General features: G+C 46.6%; 1 long non-coding RNA gene across 1 annotated transcript in view; it reads right to left on the bottom strand.

The window, feature by feature from the left end:
- Positions 1-17,071: 17,071 nt before the first annotated feature.
- Positions 17,072-19,446, bottom strand: part of LINC01399 (long intergenic non-protein coding RNA 1399) — a 111,233-nt gene continuing 108,858 nt past the window's right edge. Inside the window, exons 5-6 of the long non-coding RNA NR_126356.1 lie at positions 17,261-17,315; positions 17,072-17,152 (exon numbers count right to left, since the gene is read on the bottom strand). This is a non-coding gene — a long non-coding RNA (long intergenic non-protein coding RNA 1399). The remainder of the gene's footprint in view (positions 17,153-17,260; positions 17,316-19,446) is intronic.

Consider the following 19,446-nt stretch of genomic DNA (forward strand, 5'->3'; position numbering starts at 1 on the left):
AGGCAAAACCAGGACCAAAATGCGAAAATCTAGAAAGGCAAGTTCAAGTTTAATATGAAAACCAGAAGAGGAAGTTGCCTGAACTCCCCTTCTCCCTCCACCTCTGCAACCCCTCCTCCCCCACAGCCCTGCAGGAACCCTGCCTCCCAACCACTCTGAATCATCTGAGGCTCCAGGAACATTCCTAGCTCTCAGGCACATTCCTAGCGCACACCCTTCCCCTGCGCTGTCCTTGGTCAGAAATATCCTCTCCTCTCTTCAGCTCTTGTAACTCTACTCAAACTTCAAGGCCCTACTCAAACAGCTGCCCTCCTCCCACCCCTCACAGTCCTCACTCCCTCCTTTAAAATAAGAACACCCTTTGCATATAACACGAGTGCTTAGAATGAGCTGGGTGGCTATTACATGCATATGACTTTGCAGCTTAGAAAAAGTGTTATATTATCTTTATAGATAGATATCATAGATCAGTTATATATTATCTTTTATAGTGATTCTTCCTTTTCACTCTCACAACATTATGTACCTTTATTGAGATTATAGAGGTCCCATATACTGAGGTCCTACCACGTGCCAAATGCTTTATTCTTATACCAATCCCATGACACAGGCATCATAAGTGTCAGAGAGGGGAGGCAACTTACTCAGTGTTACACGGCAGGGGTCTCATTTGAATTCAGGCTTGTGTAATGTCAAAGCCTCTATAAATGTGCACATGATGTGTGCATGTATGTATGCTTAATCCGTGCGAGTATACACTGTGTATATACACACAGCCTCCCCTTCTGCACTGTGTTTGTTCTCTTCTCTAGCAGTGTCTAGCATATGGTAAATGCTCAATAAATGTTAGATGAATGAATAAATCCTGCATTATGACTACTTAGTTTTGTGCCTACAATAACCCCCACTACTATAAACTTGTGAACGCTGAAATAAATACATGGATTTAGGCTCCAGGATTCCAAGTGGGATAGAGAAGCAGTCCTCGAAGATGAGTGTCAAGACTCAGACAGAGAGTGGCAGGGGCCTACCAAGGTCACCAGGAGGTCGATGGAGGGCTGGAGGGAGGAGAGGGGCTGAGGGGGCCTCCATTGTGGTCACTTTCACCAGCCCGGGCTGCTCCCAGACATTCTCAGGGTTTGGGAAAAAGAAGGCCTCTCACCTCTTCCCCAGCAGCCTGGGCCCTGACCGCTGTGTGACCCCTGGGAATAGGGACCTGTACTCCCCAGGGAGGAAGGTTACAGCCAGGAGGCAATAAAGTCATTTCATGGTAATTAGAATCGTAACCAATTTAAGTCATTTACAGCTCTCAAACAATTACAGGGTGGTTCTTATCGCCCCAAAAATCCCGAGATGTTATTTGAAGGGGGCCATAAACTGGGAACCTGGTTGGGGGTGGGGAGTAGACAGGGAAGACGAGAGAAGGAAAGATGGCTGCTCATGGCAATGAGAGAAGAGGAGGCTTTTTAAAGTTCTATGGCCGGCTGCTCTCTACAGCAGATGTGGGTGGGACAGGCCCCTTGCTGTGGATTTAGTGGGAGAAACATGTCCCATCCCTAGAAGTTTCCTCTCCAGAATCACAAAATATCAGAGCTAGAAAGCCTGAAGAAACATCTAGTCCAGCATTTCCCAAATAGAAACCCTGGATATCTTGTGATTCCTGAGATGTTTGTTGGTATTTGATGAAAAGTTTCCTAGGACGAATGGGCTTGGGAAATTTGTAAAGCGTGGCTCCCTCGTACAGAATCTCGGAGCTCATTGCATGTCCAAGGTTCTGGGAAGATCTACGGGAAAGAAACCAGGTTCCGCAGGAAAGTGTAACTGTGTGGAACCCAGTGCGTCTCAGACTTTGACCACGAGGCTTTTTAACCCCCATCGAAATCTGTTAATAACGCAACAAAGCTCAGGAAATCTGCACCTGCGTCTCTCGTTTCCTTCCCACTCTGGGGCTGAAGATAGAATGAGTGGCTTTCTGTTCCATGACAACACACGCCCTTGGTTGGGGCAGGTATTTGCACCCAAAACAGTGGGCAGTCAGCCTTCTGGGGGTACTTTTGGAAGATAACGGGGGTGGTAGAAATAACATACAGAGATCCCAAATATCCTTTACCCAGTTTTCTCCAATGGTAAGATCTGGCAAAACACTATCACAACTAGGATATTGACATTGACACAGTCAAGATACATAAAATTTCCAAAAACACAAGATTCCTCATGTTGCCCTTCATAACCACATTCACACCCCTCCCACCTTCACTTTGTCTTTAATCCCTGGCAAACACTAATCCGTTCTGCATTTCTATCGTTTTATCCTTTCAATCGTTTATATAAGTGGAATCATGCAGTTTGTAACCTTTAGTGATTAGCTTTGTTTACTCAGCATAACTCTCCTGAGATCCATTCAAGTTGCTTCGTGTGCCAATGGTCCGTTGCTTTTTACCACCGAGCACTATGCCATGGCGTGGATGCACCACACAGTCTGTTTGATCATTTTTCACCCCCTGAAAAACAGCTGAGTTCCTTCCAGAGTGTGGCTATTGTGAATAATGATGCCTTAAATATTTGAATACAGGTTTTCATGCGAACACATCTTCATTTCTCTGAGATAAATTATTGGGAATGCCATGGCCATATTGCATGTTTAGTTTTTAAAGAAACTGCCAAGCTGTTTGCCAGAGTGACTGTGCCATTTTACATTCCCGCCAGCAACAATGAGTGATTAGTTTCTCTGCACCCTCATCAACATTTAGTATTAACAGTACTTTTAAGTTTAGCCTTAATGATAGATATATAGTGATATCTCATTGTGGTTTTAATTTGCATTTCTCTAGTTGCTAATGACATTGAATATCATTTCATGTGCTTATTTGCCACCCGTATATCTTCTTCAGTGAAATTTCTTCATATCTTTTCACTATGTTCTCACCGAATGGTTTGCTTTTTAGTACTGAGTTTTGAGAGTCATTTAAATAAGTACTATCATTTTACAGACATGCAGATTGGAAATATTTTCTCCTACACAGTAGCTTATCCTTTTATTCCCTTAACAGGGTTTTCATAGAGCAATAGTTATTAATTTTGATAAAGCCCAATTTATTGTTATTCTCTTATGGATCTTGCTTTGAGTGGCAAGTCTAAGATTCTTTGCCTAGCCAGAGAGCCCAAAGATTTTCTTCTATTTTCTTCCTAGAAGTTTCTTCATTTTGCATTTTAAGTCTATTATTCATTTGAAGTTAATTTTTATCTAAGGTGTGAGACATAGGTTGGGGTTTCCATTTTGCCTATGGGTGCCCAATTGTTCTAGCACCACTCATTAAAAAGGCTCTCTTTCATCAACTCGATTGCTTTTGCACCTTCATCGAAAATGGTTGAACATATTTGTGTTCAGTTATTTCTGGGTTCTACATTCTGTTCCACCTATGTGTCCATTGCTTCAGCAACACTACGTGGTCTTCATTACCATAGCTGTATAGTAAGTCTTGAAAGTGGGTAGACTGACTCCTTCCTCATTATTCTTGTTTTACAAAATGATTTTACCTTACCTTCTAGTTCCTTTGTCTTTGCACATAAATTTTAGAATAATCTTGTCTGTATGTACAAAAACAATCTTGTTGGTATTTTGATAGGAATTGTGTTAAATATGTATATGAATTTGAGAAGAACTGACAGATGTACTATGTTGAGTCTTCTGATTCGTAACACAGCATGTGTCTCCATTTATCCAGCTCTCCTTCTATTGCTTTCATCAACGTTGTGTAGTTTTTAGAATGCAAATCCTTTACAAGTTTTATTAGGTTTACACCTATGTGTTTCTCTTTTTTATTAAGAAATTCACATGATATTGCACTTTTAACATTGGTGGCCATATGTTTCTTGCTGTACATATAAATACAAGTGATTTTGGTAAGTTCTTTTTGTGTCTTGTGAACTTACTAATTCACTTGTTAATTCTAGTAGTTTTTCATAGATTCCTTGGAATTTTTTACATAGATAATCATGTAATCCAAAAATAGGGACAATTTTATTTCTTCCTTTATGATTTGCATGCCTTTTCTTTTCTTGCCTTATTGCATTAGTCAGAATTTCCAGCACAAGGTTGAATAAAAGTGGTAAGAACTGTGAGTGCAGACATTCTCACCTTATTCTTGATCTTAGGGGAAAAGCATTCATTCTTTCACCATTAAGTGTAATGTTAGCTTTAGATTTTTTTTTTGATGTTCCTTATCAAGATGAGGAAGTTCTCCCCATTTTTATTTTTCTGAGAATTTTTGCATGAATAGGTACTGAATTTTTAAAATGCTTTTTCTGAATTAAATGACATGATCACGTAATTCTTCTTTTTCAGGCTGTCAATATGGTAAATTACACTGGTTGATTTTTCGAATGTTAAACCAACTTTGCATCCCTGGAATAAACCTCATTTGATCATAGTGTATAATTATTTTTATATATTACTGCATTCTATTTGCTCATATTTTGTTAAGGACTTTTGCATCTGTATTCACAAGAAAAATTGGTTTGTAATTTACTTTTTTGTACTATCTTTTAAATCCACTCTACCAGTCTCTGTTTTTAATTGGTATGTTTTAATTAATATAATTATTAATATGTTAGGGCTTGAGTCTATCATCTAATTTTTTCTGTTTGTTCTCTGTGTTTTGGTTTCTCTGTTGCATTTTTTGTGGCATAGTTGAACATATTTTCCATTTTTAATTATCTATAGTATTTCTGAGTGTATACCTTTTTATTGGTTGCTCTAGGTATTACGTTATATATACCTATGACTTACCATAGTCCACTGGTGTCATCATTTTATCAGTTCAAGTAAAATATGGAAGCTTGCCTCCCTACATGTTCCTTTACTCTCTCCCATTTATAATATGTCTTAAATGTTTCCTCTATCTACATTTAGAACCACATCAGGCAGTGTTATAATTTTTGCTTTAGCGATCAAGCAATTTATAAAGCTCACAAGGAGAAAGGAAGTGCCTTTTCAGTCCTATCTTTTTCCTCCTTTCCTTCTGGGACTCCGATGACACACGTTTGAACTTTTGTTATAGTGTCCCAGGGCCCTGAAGCTCTGTTCATTTTTTTTCCAATCTATTTTCTCTCTGTTGTTCAGATATCTGTTATTCTATCTTCAGGTTCACTGAATCTTTGCTCTGTCTCCTCCATTCTGATGTTGAGCCTAACCACATAGGTTTTATTTTTTTCTATTATTGTATTTCCCCGTTCCAAAACTTTCATTTGGTTTTTCTTTATCTCTTCTATTTCTTTCCTGAGACTTTCTATGTTTTCATTTGTTTCAAGTGTGTTCTTTATTGCTTGTTGAAGCATTTTTATTGCAACTTCTTTAAAATATTTGAGATAATCCTGACATCTCTGTCCTCTTAGCTTTGGCACCTATTAACCATCTTTTTTCATTCACTTTGACAGCCTCTTAGTTCTTATGATGGGTGATTTTCTAGTGAAACATGAACATTTTTATATATTTTGAGATTCAATCTTATTTGAACCTTCTGTTTTTGCCATATGTCTCTAACACCATTCCACTCTGGTCGGGGAAAGAAGGGTACCAGCTCATTACTGTTAAGTAGAGGTAGAAGTCCAGATTCCCCCCACACTGACACCCAAGGTAGGGGGAAGGGCTTCTCATTACCACTGGAGGGGGTGGGGTTAGCTCTCCATCTGATCGTCATTGGCACTGCAATGAGTAGGTGGTCTCATTAACTATGGGCAATAATGAAAGTCCTGACTCTCTACAAGGCCTCCTCTGATCACTCCAATAGGGAGAGAGAGAGGACTGCTGCCTGGCAGAGTGAAGTCCAGACTCTGCCCATGGTCTTCTCTGATGCCACAAGGTAGGGGCTAGTCCCTAGCCAGTGGGGATAAAATCCTCAGATCCTTACTCACCCTTCTGAGACACCACCCCAGCAAGGGATTTGGAGAGCGTCATTATAACCTCATTAGTGTGGAAGTAGAGGCCAGTCCCCACACGGCCTCTGCTGGCCTGGGTGGGGATTGGGCTGTATTTTTTCCTACAGAGTTTGAGTGGAATAGAGCAGTTATTAATCAAAAGGTTTCTGTCTTGCTAGGATGCCACTTTTCTGGCCCTTTGGCTAAATAAAGCAGGCTTTAGGGGGACAAAATGGTCCATTTCCAGGTTGCCAGCTTCTTCAACCCCAATTTGGGAAATGTAAGGGAAAAAAAAAAAACAGGGAACTCACCATGCCATTCCTTGGATCCCAAGTTCCCTAGCTAGTCTATGTCTTCTCTCCACCTCTTAGAGTCTTCCTGTGTTTATTTCCTAACCGATGTCCATGGTTTTTAGTTGCACTTAGTGGAGAACTCTGGGAAAGTACATCTACTCTATCTTCCCAGACGGAGACGTCTAGATTATGCTTTTCACATCTTTGCACCTTTGCGTATGCTGTTCCTTCTGTCAAGAATAATCCCTCCCCTCTACCAAGAAGCTGTTGCCAGCCCCACAGACTGGTTAGGTGACCCACAGCATCCGCTGTGCCTGGACCACAGTAGTGATCAGACAGGGGTATCTTCTTTTTGCCTGTCTCACGCTCTAAACCATCAGCTTCTTGAAAGAAGGATGAAGTCCTGGTTGACTTTGCCTCCAGCTCACAGCACAGTGTCTGATGCATGGTAGACACTTGATGAATGTTTGCTGAATGAATGAATGACATTCACCGCAGGATTCCCTTCTGCCCTCGGGCAGTGCACAGCATATAAATGAGGAAAACTGCACTGTATGCCAACTCTTCCTAGACTTTCTTGGTGACCTTGGAAAAATAACCTGAACTGACATCAGTTTCTTCCATGTTGACTAATGAGCAAGAAAATGGGAAAAACGATTATTACCAAAACTAAATATTTTCAGCAATTAGTACGTGCCAGGCACTGTGCAAATTGCTTTATCTTCATTATCTTATTTAATTCTAAAAATACCCCCAATGCGATGAGTTCTGTTATCTCCATGGCACAAATAAACAGACCAAGGTTCCATGAGGTTGTATAAATTACTCATGGTTGCAGAGTCGATGTAAGGTAAATGTAGGGCAAAAGTCAAACCCAGATATCTCTGCCTCCAACACCCCATGTCAGGTGGAATTCCACAAGACATTCCTCCTGGGCCTAACTTGGATCAGTTCACAAAAATTATGGGACATCCACCATACTCTGGGAGTTGAAGATTTTTTTGAATCCCAAAATATATAAAGGTTACAATCAAAATCAGATAAAGATTTTAGAGGAACTTAAAGCATTAAAGGCGGGAATGGGAAGGAGAATAACATGTATTAGATGTTCTTGGGCAGCCAGGGACTGTGGGCACCGCCTCACATATAACATCCCCCCGAGTCCTCTCAATGGTCCTAGAGGGTTGCTACTGTCAATTGCACTCAAGGTCAAAGGACAGTAAACATTGAAGCCATGCCTAGAACCAGGACCATCTGTCTCCAAGGTTCTCACTCTTTCCAATATATACATTCCCATATAAGGCCTTAGTTCAAGAAATGAAGAAACCAATGTTGGGAGCGGGGGGCCTCATCTCACCAGTCCCTATAGGGTTTGAGCCCACTGAGTGTGATGAGTTGAATGTCCAGGCTCTGGAAGTCCTCGGCTTGTGTCCCAACTCTGCCACCACTGCCCAGCTATGCAAGCTTGAGCTATAAACCCCAATGTCTCCATCTGTAAAACGGCATTGACAAGAGTACTGTATACCTACAGCCCAAGGAATGAGATGCTTTAGGCAACTTATCATAGCACTGGTACATGGCAAACGTTCAATTGCTGGTACTGAGAATCACTGTGCTAAGCTCCAGCATGTCCAATCCTATGCCACATGCTGAGATTAGAAGATGTGGCACATGGCCTTTAGGAAATGTGGCATCTGGCTGGGGAAATGGACAATTAAATAGTTAAACCTCAAGGGAAGAGCCCAAAGATGTGGCAAAAGTAATTGCTTTGAAGAGTCTGAAAAGGTGTCATGAAAATGTGGTAGATTTCTAACCACTGAAAAAGTAAGAAGAAAGAACAACAGACAGGCCGGGTGCGGTGGCTCACACCTGTAATCCCAGCACTTTGGGAGGCCAAGGTGGGCAGATCACTTAAGGTCAGGAGTTTGAGCCCAGCCTGGCCAACATGCTGAAACCCTGTCTCTACTAAAAATACAAATAAATTAGCCAGGTGTGGTGGCACATGCCTGTAATCCCAGCTACTCAGGAGGCTGAAACAGGAGAATTGCTACTCAGGAGGCTGAGACAGGAGAATTGCTTGAACTTGGGAGGCAGAGGTTGCAGTGAGCCAAGATCACGCCACTGCACCCCAGTTCAACCTGAGTGACAGAGTGAGACTTCTTCGAAGGGAAGGGAAGGGAAGAGAAGGGGAGGGGAGGGGAGGGGAAGGGAGGGAAGGAAGAGACAGAGAGAAGTGGAGGGCTGGCTTTTCAGGACAGGAACAGCACGAACAAAAACCCCAGAGACAGGAAGAGAAGGCTGGTGGGAAGGGAGCAGTGGGCCTCAACTGGAACACAGTCAGGGAGGATGGGGGTGTAAGAGCCCAAGAAACCTGATTCTCCATCCTGGGATCCTTCCTCGAGTTTTTCATAATGATGCAATCAAGCCCAGGACAAAGTTGTTTTCTTATCCAGCTTGTGATCTCTGAAATCGCATTAATGACCCTAAAGCAAAGTTCAGTTTCTACTTTCAAATGACCCTCAGGACTGAGATGTTCATCCTTTTGGCAGCACTCATTGAGAACCTACTGTGTGCCAGGCACTGCCCTAGTGCTAAGAATTCACCAGCAAACATGACAGACACACCTGCTGTGATCTCCAAGCTTGCTTCCGCAGAGGGGAGTTGGAGAGTAAGCAACTTCTTGCAAGATTCTATTTATTCCTTAGCTGTCATTGTGCTGTGTGCACAAAGGTTAGTATGCGATGAAGTGGTTGATATGTCCTGGGGCTCAGGGAAATAGGATGGGGTGTGAAACCTCTGGCATAACCAGGGCAGAAATAACAGCCAGGAACCCACTTACAGCCCAAGTTGCCGAATGCCTGGCAGACCAACATTTTTAAGGGGCAAAGAGAGGCCTATAAGACAGTCTTCATATGTCCATGGGCCATCATATGTCATAGAAACCAGTGACAAAAGGCAGGGACTGGGATGACTGTACAGTTTACAAATTCAGGCTCCCTCGGCAATGACAGGGTGTTGGAGAGGAAAGCTCACTGCTCCAGAAGTCTCTGAGAGGGTCTGGGTTTCAGGGTGAGGTGGGCCATCACATTGAGCAAGTTCCAAGAGTTGGGATCTATCATAGACAGATGTTTCTAGAGTATGTTCTGTTGAACTTAGAACCGCCTTGCAATATCCAAATAGGGGCTCAATTTAAAAACAAAACAAAACAAATTTCTTCAGATTTTTTTTTTGCAGGACTTCTCAGAGCCTTAAATGTGCTGATATGCATTGTGGCTTCCTGAGATGGACCAACACTTTCCAATCTTGTTTGACCTAGAACATTTTTTTCTAGGGATTCATATTAATATTTTTCCCTATGCAGATAGAAAATCACCCCTTTAGGGTTAACCTCCCTGGCTGGACAAGCCAATGAGCCCCGACAAACAGGCCTACATTTTTTTTTTTTGAGACAGAGTCTTGCTCTGTCACCTAGTCTAGAGTGCAGTGGCAAGACCTCAGCTCACTGCAACCTCTGCCTCCCAGGTTCAAGCGATTCTCCTGCCTCAGCCTCCCAAGCAGTTCAAATTACAGTCACCTGCCACCATGCCCAGAAAATTATTGTATTTTTAGTAGAGATGGGGTTTCACCATGTTGGCCAGGCTGGTCTCAAACTCCTGACTGCAGGTGATCCACCCAACTCGGCCTCCCAAAGTGCTAGGATTATAGGCATCCACCACCACGCCTGGCTAATTTTTGTATTTTTAGTAGAGACAGGGTTTCGCCATATTGGTCAGGCTGGTCTCGAACTCCTGACCTCAGGTGATCCACCTATCTCGCCCTCCCAAAGTGCTAGGATTACAGGCATGAGCCACTGCGCCCGGCCCCTATTTTCAAACTGGAAGGTATGCTGAGTGTGAATAATACAGCTTCGCATCAGTAATGGATTTCCTCCATTCCATCCCTGGGAAGCAATCCCTGGGCCCCTGCTTGAACGCCTCCAGCCACAAGACATTCATGACTTGTTAAGGAAGCCCACTCCCACTGTTGAAGGTGAGATTCCATCTGGAGCCCTTCCTTGGGCTGAGCTGAAATTCACCTCCCTGATTCTTTCATCATCAATAACAGTAATGTTTATCCTACTATCATTTATTTAACATCTTTTATAGGCCAGGTTCTGTGCTGAGTATTTTTCATGTGTGATCTCAGTGAAACTCTTCAAGTACTCTGTGAGGTCAGAGTGTGCCTCTCCTACAGCTGAGGAACCGAAGGTTTGGAGAAGTTTCATTACTCTCCTAGCTCACCCAGCTAACAAGAAGCAGATAGATGACTCAAGTCTGACCCAAAGGCCAAGAACTTGGATGTACCTAACCACTCCACTCTCCTGCCCTTCCTCACAAAGCTCCTCCCTCTTGAGCCCTCTAGAATGAAAACACCCACATCTGTGGCCCGCCTCACACGCCAGGCTTCATTCTCATGGACTAACATATCTGAGTCTTACAGCAGTCTGTGAGGTGGGGTCGGTGATTATTCCCAGTCTGCAGGGGAGACATTGACCAATGACCTGCCCCGAATCGCACAGATCCCAGGTGGCAGATCCTTGGTGCCCAAGCCATCTGGCTCCGGAGCCCACCGTTTAGCCACTGTTATGAATGCATAATGCAGGAGGGAATCCCAGTTGTGTATTTTAGAGGAATTATTGAAAGTCCCATTGCTTCTCCATCAGGGTCGGAGCCTTCCCCCTGGTGCCACTGAGCACCAGCCATCCCTATGGTGCCGCTGAGCACACCTTGGGTGGAGACGTGCCCCCTCACTGTGTCTACAGCCTTGTCCATGTGCCCACCCATGTTCTGGCTGAAGGGACTGTGTCCCCTGTGAGCCTCATCTTTCCCAGCTCCATGGCCCCTGGTCCTTCTGTGCTTCCTCCCAAGCCAGGGTCTCTAGGCCCTCTCTATCCTTGCCTCTCTCCTGTGGGCCCATCCCAGGATTCTGTGCAAATAGTCAGGCCATTTCTATGGCCCCAGGGAGGAAAAAAGTCAGGAACCCAGGACTGAGGACAAGAACATGGACAGGAATCAAAGACGCTGTCCAGTGAGGACTTGCTAAGCCTGGACTCTTTGGGGGAATTATTTCATTTAACTCATATGGCAGCTGCTGACATCTGGAAGAAGCCCCAGGACATATCCGTTGAATGAATCAGGCAGCCCTCACTTTCCTCATTTTACAGATAGGGAAAGAGATGTCCTGAGGATCTTAGAACAGGCTCAACATCACACAGCTATGACAAATTCAGGATTCAAAGCCAGCTCCTCCTGGCTCCCTCATTTTTGCTCTTTCTTCCACCCCCATATTACAATGCTTGGTCCACATTTGGAGTCCAAAGAAATGGATCCTCACTCCAGCTGTGTCTTGGACTCCTTTGTTGACCTTGAGCCAGGCTCTCTGGAAAAGGCATCCAGAAGCTCTCCAAGGAACCTTTAGGAAGAGGAACTTCCTGGGTTTGGTGACCATGAAAGGAGGAAAGAGAGAATCCACCAGCTGGAGCTCCACGTGCACGCAGCCAGCCCTCGATGTGCAACATCTTTGACAACAGGAAGACACATGCTCTCAAGTGGCTCACTCAAGCGTCTTTAAAGAGTTCCGTAAAACTCTGCATTTCAGTGCACGACCAGTAAGTGTATAAAGCGAATGTGGTGTGCTGGGCATACAGAACAAATGGAAGAATCTCAGGCAGAGAGCCCCACGTGAGGAATCAGAGACAGGCTGGGGTCCAGATCTCTGCCCGCCTCCACCCAAGATGTGCTCAGCGGAACCACAGGGATGGCTGGTGCTCAGTGGCACCACGGGGAAGGCTCTGAGCCTGATGGAGAAGCCATGGGACTTTCAACAATTCCTCTAAAATACACAACTGGGATTCCCTCCTGTGTTATCCATTCAGCACTTACCGACAAGTACATGCCTAGGAGAGTTGCTATGAGAATTGAGGAAACACAAAGGGGATTGGAAGACGCTTCAACGGCAGAGCATTTCATGCATGGGAGGGAGAGCTGTGGGGGCCCGCGGAACATTCCCACCACCATTGCCTCTCCTCTCTGGTGTGACCCTGGGAGAGGACAGTACAAATTAGCCAGGCTGTAACCTGATGCTAGAAGCTATCTAGGTGTTCTGTGGCTTCAGGTCACTGTCTGCCACACAATGAGGCAGTGAGCAGGCAGCTGCCCCTCGGCTTCTAGAAAAGGAAGGTGGTGGCTGGGCGTGGTGGCTCACGCCTGTTAGCCAGCACTTTGGGAGGCCGAGGAGGGCGGATCACGAGGTCAGGAGATCGAGACCATCCTGGCTAACACGGTGATACCCCGTCTCTATTAAACAAAATACAAAAAATTAGCCAGGCGAGGTGGCAGGCGCCTGTAGTCCCAGTTACTTGGGAGGCTGAGGCAGGAGAATGGCATGAACCTGGGAGGCGGAGCTTGCAGTGAGCCCAGATGGCACTGCACTCCAGCCTGGGCGACAGAGCAAGACTCCGTCTCAAAAAAAGAAAAAAGAAAAGGAAGGTGGACAGTGGATTCGAGCATAGATCCCAGCCCCAGATCCCACAGCTGCTAGGGAAGTGCACAAATGTTTTCTATGAAGGGCCAGATAGTAAATACTTTAAGCTTTACGGGTCTTAGGATCCCTGTTGCAATTACTTAACTCTGCAGCTGTAGCTCAAAAGTAGCCAGAGACAACACATCAGAGAATGGCCATGGCTGTGTTCTAATAAAACTTTATTCACAAAATCAGTCAGTGGGTTGGATTTGTCCCGCAGGCCATCATTGGCCCTCAATAATCCCAAAATATTGCTGGCCTCCGATGGTGTTAAAGAGGATTTGAATACAAAGTTGCTGTGACTGGCCATTTTTCTCACCACCCCACAAAATCTGCCTTGCCATTGACACTCAATTCTATCCTTGAAAGCCTGAGAAATCCCAGTTAGAAGATGCAACAGCCCCTTCCTTCTTCAGACCAAGCTCCCAGCTGGGTGACGTTGGGAAAGTCCTCCCACCTCTCTAGGCCTCATTCTCCCCTCAGTAAATGCACTTATTGAAGGCCTCCCCTAGGACCAGGCGCAGTGACCAGGTACAGCAGGGTGTCCAGGGAACAGCCCCAGAACATTGGCAACAAAATCTGCCTTCCATGGAGGTAGAAATTGGGACTCAGAGAGGTTAAGCAACTTGCCTGAGATCACAGAGCTAAGAAGTGTTCATACAGGAACTAGAACCTAATGCTTTGGGCTCCAGAGGCCAGAGCTCCCACCTCTGCCCCTCTCAGGCTAGGATGACTCCGAAGCCCCATCGGGTCCATGTCTCTGAGTGCTGGGAAGGTGCAAAGTCCAGCAGGAGAGAGCATGAGGATGACAGAGGAAGACCAGGGAGCCGCCTCTGTTATCCACCAACTGTGTGCCAGGATATAAGCTCAGTTATGGGAGGTGTTATCCTCCCCCAGGAACAGGTGTGGAAACAGGCTCAGAGAGGTAGAGGGCCTTGCCCAAGGCCACAGAGCCAGTGGTGAGTCAGGACATGAACCCAGGCCGAGGAACCCCACATGGCCAAGCTTAGCTGACTTCCCTGGCCACACTCCGCCCCTCCGTTTATGTTCCCAGAATGAGACAGGAGCCCGGGAAAACCTCCTCCCCAGGTGGCATAGAAGTGAGAGCCCAAAAAGGCGCACCCTACCCCCAGTGCCCTCACTTGGGGACACCACTCAAGCCTACAGGTGTCCATCAGTCCAAGCTGAGAACCATCAACAATGGCCCCCTTCACTCAGACCCTGAGAAGCCCCAGGACTGGGGTGCAGCCGGGTTCAGCACCAGGAGGATTATCAGCCACCCAGGAAATGCCTGGAGGTCTTGAACTTCTGAACTCCTCGCTCACCTCCACCTGAACCCAGCAAAATGGCCTCTTTCCTGTTATTACTTTATAGCCTTGACTGTAAATTCTTCCCTGATCCCACTTTATGGCTGCAGGATAAAAACATGTGCCCCAGGCATAGCTTTCGAGGAGAGCGCCTGGTTTATAAAGTGGTGCTGTCATAGCACAGAGAAGGGGTGCAGCTCAGCCGGCCAAGGGAGTGCAGCCCGGGGCTCACTGCTGGCGCACGGGAAGGGCAGGCTGACCAGACCCTGCCAGGGCACCAAGCCAGGCACACTGCAGGGCCCTGGAAGCCAGGCAGCAGTTCCCACCCTTACCAGGGATGGCAGCGTGACTTTCTTCACTGCATCTTCGGGGTAACCCTGAGAAACAGGCCAGGTTTTATGGCTACCTTCATATTACAAGTGAGGAGGCTGACGCTGGGAGAGGTGGCGTGTACAGGGCCACACAGCCAGGACGAGAACTCAGACCCAGAGCTCCTTCACCACCTGCTCTCTCAGAATAAACCCTCAATTGTCTACAAGACAGCTCATCTCAACAGAATTGCTTCAGCCTCATTGAATCCTCAGCCGTCCTGGGAGCATGAGTATTACCCTCCCCTCTTACTACACAGGTGTTTCTGAAGCATCCTCTGCCTGCCCTCAGCACCCCACTCCTGGCGCTGCTGCCCTCATACCTGTGGACTGACAAGGAGGAGAAGCGGGGCCCCTGCAACGCTGTCCTTTCTTCTTCCCTCTCTCTTAGGAGCCAGATGCTTAGATAGAGGACCTGAACCCTTAGCCCTCTATAGGGATCCCTGTCCATAGATTGATTCAGGGAAGGGCGGGGGGCTGTGCCCACCCAGCTGGTACCCCGGGTGGGCTGTCAGACCCTGATCTCCAGATTTAAGCTCCATTCTCCATGCCAGTACCCCGGGTGGGCTGTCAGACCCTGGCCTCCAGATTTAAGCCCCATTCGCCATGCCAGGCACTATCGATAATGAAGGTGCTATTTGGGCTGCCTTTCTCCATCATCTTACTTCCAGATGCAGGCCAAAGCTGAAAGGTGGCAAGTGCTAGTGTGTCTGGGAGATGGTCAGATCCAATGGAAGCGAAGCCCTCTCTCTCACCACAATGACAGTCCCTCTCAGTACTCCTTCTGCTGTAACTTCCACAATTCCTTGGTCCTGCGGTGTTTGGAGGCCCCGACTTGTGATATAATCAAGGCTGGCCAGAAGAAAGTGGCCCACGGGAGGACAAGGCCATAAGAGCGGGGACCAGGGAGAAACCAGAGCTGCCCAGGAAAGGGACGGCAAGGCTCACATTCAAGGCCGTGGCTGCAGAGCTAAGTGGTACGAGAAAAAGCCCCACACCAGAGCCAGGAGATCCGCTTCTAGGCCCCACCCATGCTCCACACGCCCTTCAAATGCCACCTCAGCTTCCTGGGCCTCAGGTTCCTGACTCACCTGTGAAATGGGCAAAGCCAGGGCATGGAACCAGAAGATCTCAGGAGATTGTTCTAGAACGAGGATTCTGCACCTTTTCCTTCAGCTGTGACTCTCAGCCCAGGCCACACACTAGAACCTCATGGGGAAGCTTTTACAAACATCAATGCCCAGGTCTTCTGACTACTGTGCTATAAAGATACGCAACCTCAAACTGGGATACGTTGACTTTAAAGCCAAGAACAGAAGCTGGAAGGACCGTGAAGAGGTGATACTAGGAGATGTCCAAGCGTAAGAAACAAAGATGAAATAAATATCAGCGTAGTAGGTGAGAGTTGGGTTTTGGAGTCAGACTTGAGTACCACGTCTTGCTTCCTTACTCACCAAGAAACGCCACTCAGGAAAGCTATGCCTTCATTACCAGTAGCACCTGGCATGGAGAATGAGGCTTAAATCTGGAGGCCAGGGTCTGACAGCCCACCCGGGGTACTGGCTGGGTGGGCACGGCCCCTTGTCCTTCCCTGAATCCATCCATGGACAGGGATCCCTATGGAGGGCCAAGAGTCTTCAGTGTCAGATGGCCTGAGCTCAATAGTGAATCTGCCCCATGAGTTGGCCTGGGTACTTGATTCGCTTTTTAGTCCTGCCTGCTTTGCAGCATTGAGAAAAGGGACATGAAAGCACTTTGTAGACATGGAATACTTTGCTGCGCACCTCCTGGTTTTGAATGTTTTATCTATAAAATGGGCACGATAACACCTTTTGCCTATGACTGTCCTAGGGATTACATAAAAGGGCCGTGTGCATGGCATACAGCACCCATTCAGAAATATGAGCTTTATCATTAATAATGCACTGTGCATGCCCCATTTCCAGGGCAGGTGGGCACGCATCACTGTTAAGCAGGTGGGCTCTGGAGCTGTCATACCGGAATCAAGCTCTGCTTCACTCACCTGCTAGCTGTGTATCCTTGGGTCAGCCAGCTCTCTCCTCTGCACTATGGCGAAGTTGATGATAATGTTAGCTTTGTGGCAGAGTTAAATTAAGGAGTAAGTAAAAATATCTAACACAATATGAAGCTATTGTAGGTTTTCAGTACGTGCTTCCTTTCCGTCTCCTTTTTCTCCAGCAGTGGTCCCAGGATGCCAGCTATGTTGGTGACAAGGATCCTCCAGTCCAGGAAGCACCTGGGGTTCCCCCTAGCCCTGGCCTTCAGTGTCAGGTAGCCTAAGCTCAGCAGTGAATCTGTCCCATGCCTGGGCCTGGACACTTGACTTATTTTCCAGTCCTGCTTGCTGAGGAGCATTGAGAAAAGGGATACAAAAACACTTTGTAGACATGGAATACTTTGCAGAGGCACAGACCAAGGCTGGAAAGAGACCAGAGTGGCTGGAGAATCTAATCTGGCTCTGATCCCCACCACCAGTGTGCTGAGCAAAGGTCACAAACTCTCAGCACCAGGTTTGACATCAGAAACTTCCTCTTCAAGGTAGAGCCTGGAGAGCCCCTCTTTCCATCAGTCTCAGAATCCAGGAGGAGAAAGAGAAGTGATCTTGGAGTCAGACAGCCCTGGGCTTATGTGTCCTGGTCCCACCACTGATAAGGGATGTCCTTCTTGTGGGCCTCATTTTCCCCACCTGTAAAAAAAGAACACGTCCCTAGCCCCAGACGTTCATTTTAAGGATCAACTGAGAGCAAGTCTGTGCAAAACCTTCCAGAAATCCTGAGAAAAAGCTCGTTCTTACCAGCTATGGGACCTTAGGAAAATGACTTCATCTCCCACGACCTCAGTTTCTCAATCTGTAAGACAGGGATAATGGTATTCACCTCATAGGGCTGTTATTCAAATTAAATATGATAACGGGAGTCAACACCTAGGTCACTGGCACATGGTAAGTGCTCAATTCACAGCAGCCAGCGTTACTGTCACTGTGGCACCTTCTTCCATCCCACGGCACCTTCTTCCCCCGGACCCAGCCCCTGGAGGGCAAGCATGGCTGTCTCCTCTCTGCAGTTGAAAAAACCTTTTGGTCCAGAAGATCCAAGGCCTTCTGGGGGCTCCAGCCTCCCAGAAGCCCCCCACAGGCATCACCCCTTGCACCTGGGAATGAAGCCATTCTCAGGTCGCAGGCTCACTCGTTGTTCAGCCTGACTGGACATAAGAAGCTCTACGTGGAGTTATTTTAATCTTTCCTCACAAATCAATAACTGCTTACCTTGAAGCAGTTTTAATTAGTTAAGGCCTGCTGAGTGCTCTGCTGATAAACTAGCCTGCTATTAATGCTAAGTATCTGCTGTGTAGTTGCTATTTTTATTATTGTTGTTCTTATGAAATCCTCATTTCCTGAGCCACACAGCTGGGACTATTATTTAAAAATCACCTTAGGCTTGAGCCTCCTTCCCTGAAACCTGGGGAAAGGGCCCTTTCCTCACAGCTCAGCTCACCCCTTCCCACGCCTACCACGTGCAATACCCTTAACACACCATTATATTAATAGAAAGATGCTTCCTTCAACAACAGAAAACAACCTCCACAACTTTTGATATCTGACTTCTGTAGCAACAGAGCCCCCTAAGCTCTATGAGCCCCAAGGTGAGGATCACCTCACTCGCTTAAATCAGCTACCAGTGAGGAGAGCAGAAGGAGGGAACATTTATTAAGAGCTTACTGTGTACCAGCAATGGTGCAATGTGCTCACTACTGGGACCTCATCTAGTCTTCGGAGAATCCAGAGGTGCTAACACAAGCCCTGTTTTGTCAGTGAAGTAACTGGGGCTCAGAGAGGTTAGTGCATTTGCTCAAGGTCATAGCATCAGCAAGTAGGGAAATGTGGAGCTAAACTTTTCTCTGTCATTCTGGTTCCCACTGGGGTAGGCCCCTGGGGGACCTCTCCTGGCCTTGGCTGATTTCTCCCACTCTTTTTTTATTATTATTTTTGAGACAGGGTCTCACTCTTGTCACCCACGCTGGAGTGCAGTGGCGCAATCTCAGCTCACTACAACCTCTGCCTCCCAGGTTCAAGTGATTCTCCCATCTCAGACTCCTGAGTAGCTGGGACTACAGGTGCACCCCACCACGCCCAGCTAATTTTAGCATTTTGGGGTAGAGATGGGGTTTCACCATGTTGGTCAGGCTGGTCTCAAACTCCTGACCTCAAGTGATCTGCCTGCCTCGGCCTCCCAAAGTGTTGGGATTACAGGCACAAGCCACCAGCGCCTGGCCCTCTCCCACTCTTTATACCTCTTTGTCGTAGGCTCTAGGACCCCAGCCTGCCTATTTGTGTTGCTCTCTTTCACACTGCCTCCTCCTACTCCATCTCTTGGTTTTATGGCTGGTGGGGGAGGATTGGGGCATGGGGCATGGTCTCTCTAGGTCAAAGACCAGCTTCATAAACCTTTGTAATCATTGTTCTGGTAAAGAGACAGAGGAGACAAATAAAAACAACAACAAAAATCCATCTTGGAAGGAGAACCAATATCTGGGCAATGTGACGAAGTGGTTTCGAACCTGGGCAGGGGGAGAAGCCAGGGTTCAAATCCCACATGTGCCTCTTTTTTTTTTTTTTGAGATGGAGTCTCGCTCTGTCTCCCAGGCTGGAGTGCAGTGGCGCCATCTTGGCTCACTGCAAGCTCTGCCTCCCGGGTTCACACCATTCTCCTGTCTCAGCCTCGCGAATAGCTGGGACTACAGGCACCCGCCACGACACCTGGCTAATTTTTTGTATTTTCAGTAGAGACAGGGTTTCACCATGTTAGCCAGTATAGTCTCGATCTCCTGACCCCGTGATCCACCTGCCTCGGCCTCCCAAAGTGCATGTGCCTCTTATTAGCTGTGTGACCTTGGAAAACTTGCTAAAGCTCCCATTTTCTCATCTGAAAATGGCCTTTCTGGTAGCATCTGCCTCCCAGGGCTATTATAAGGATTAAGTGA

The sequence above is a fragment of the Homo sapiens genome, chromosome 22, assembly GCF_000001405.40.
Source record: "Homo sapiens chromosome 22, GRCh38.p14 Primary Assembly".
Taxonomy (NCBI): Eukaryota; Metazoa; Chordata; class Mammalia; order Primates; family Hominidae; genus Homo; species Homo sapiens.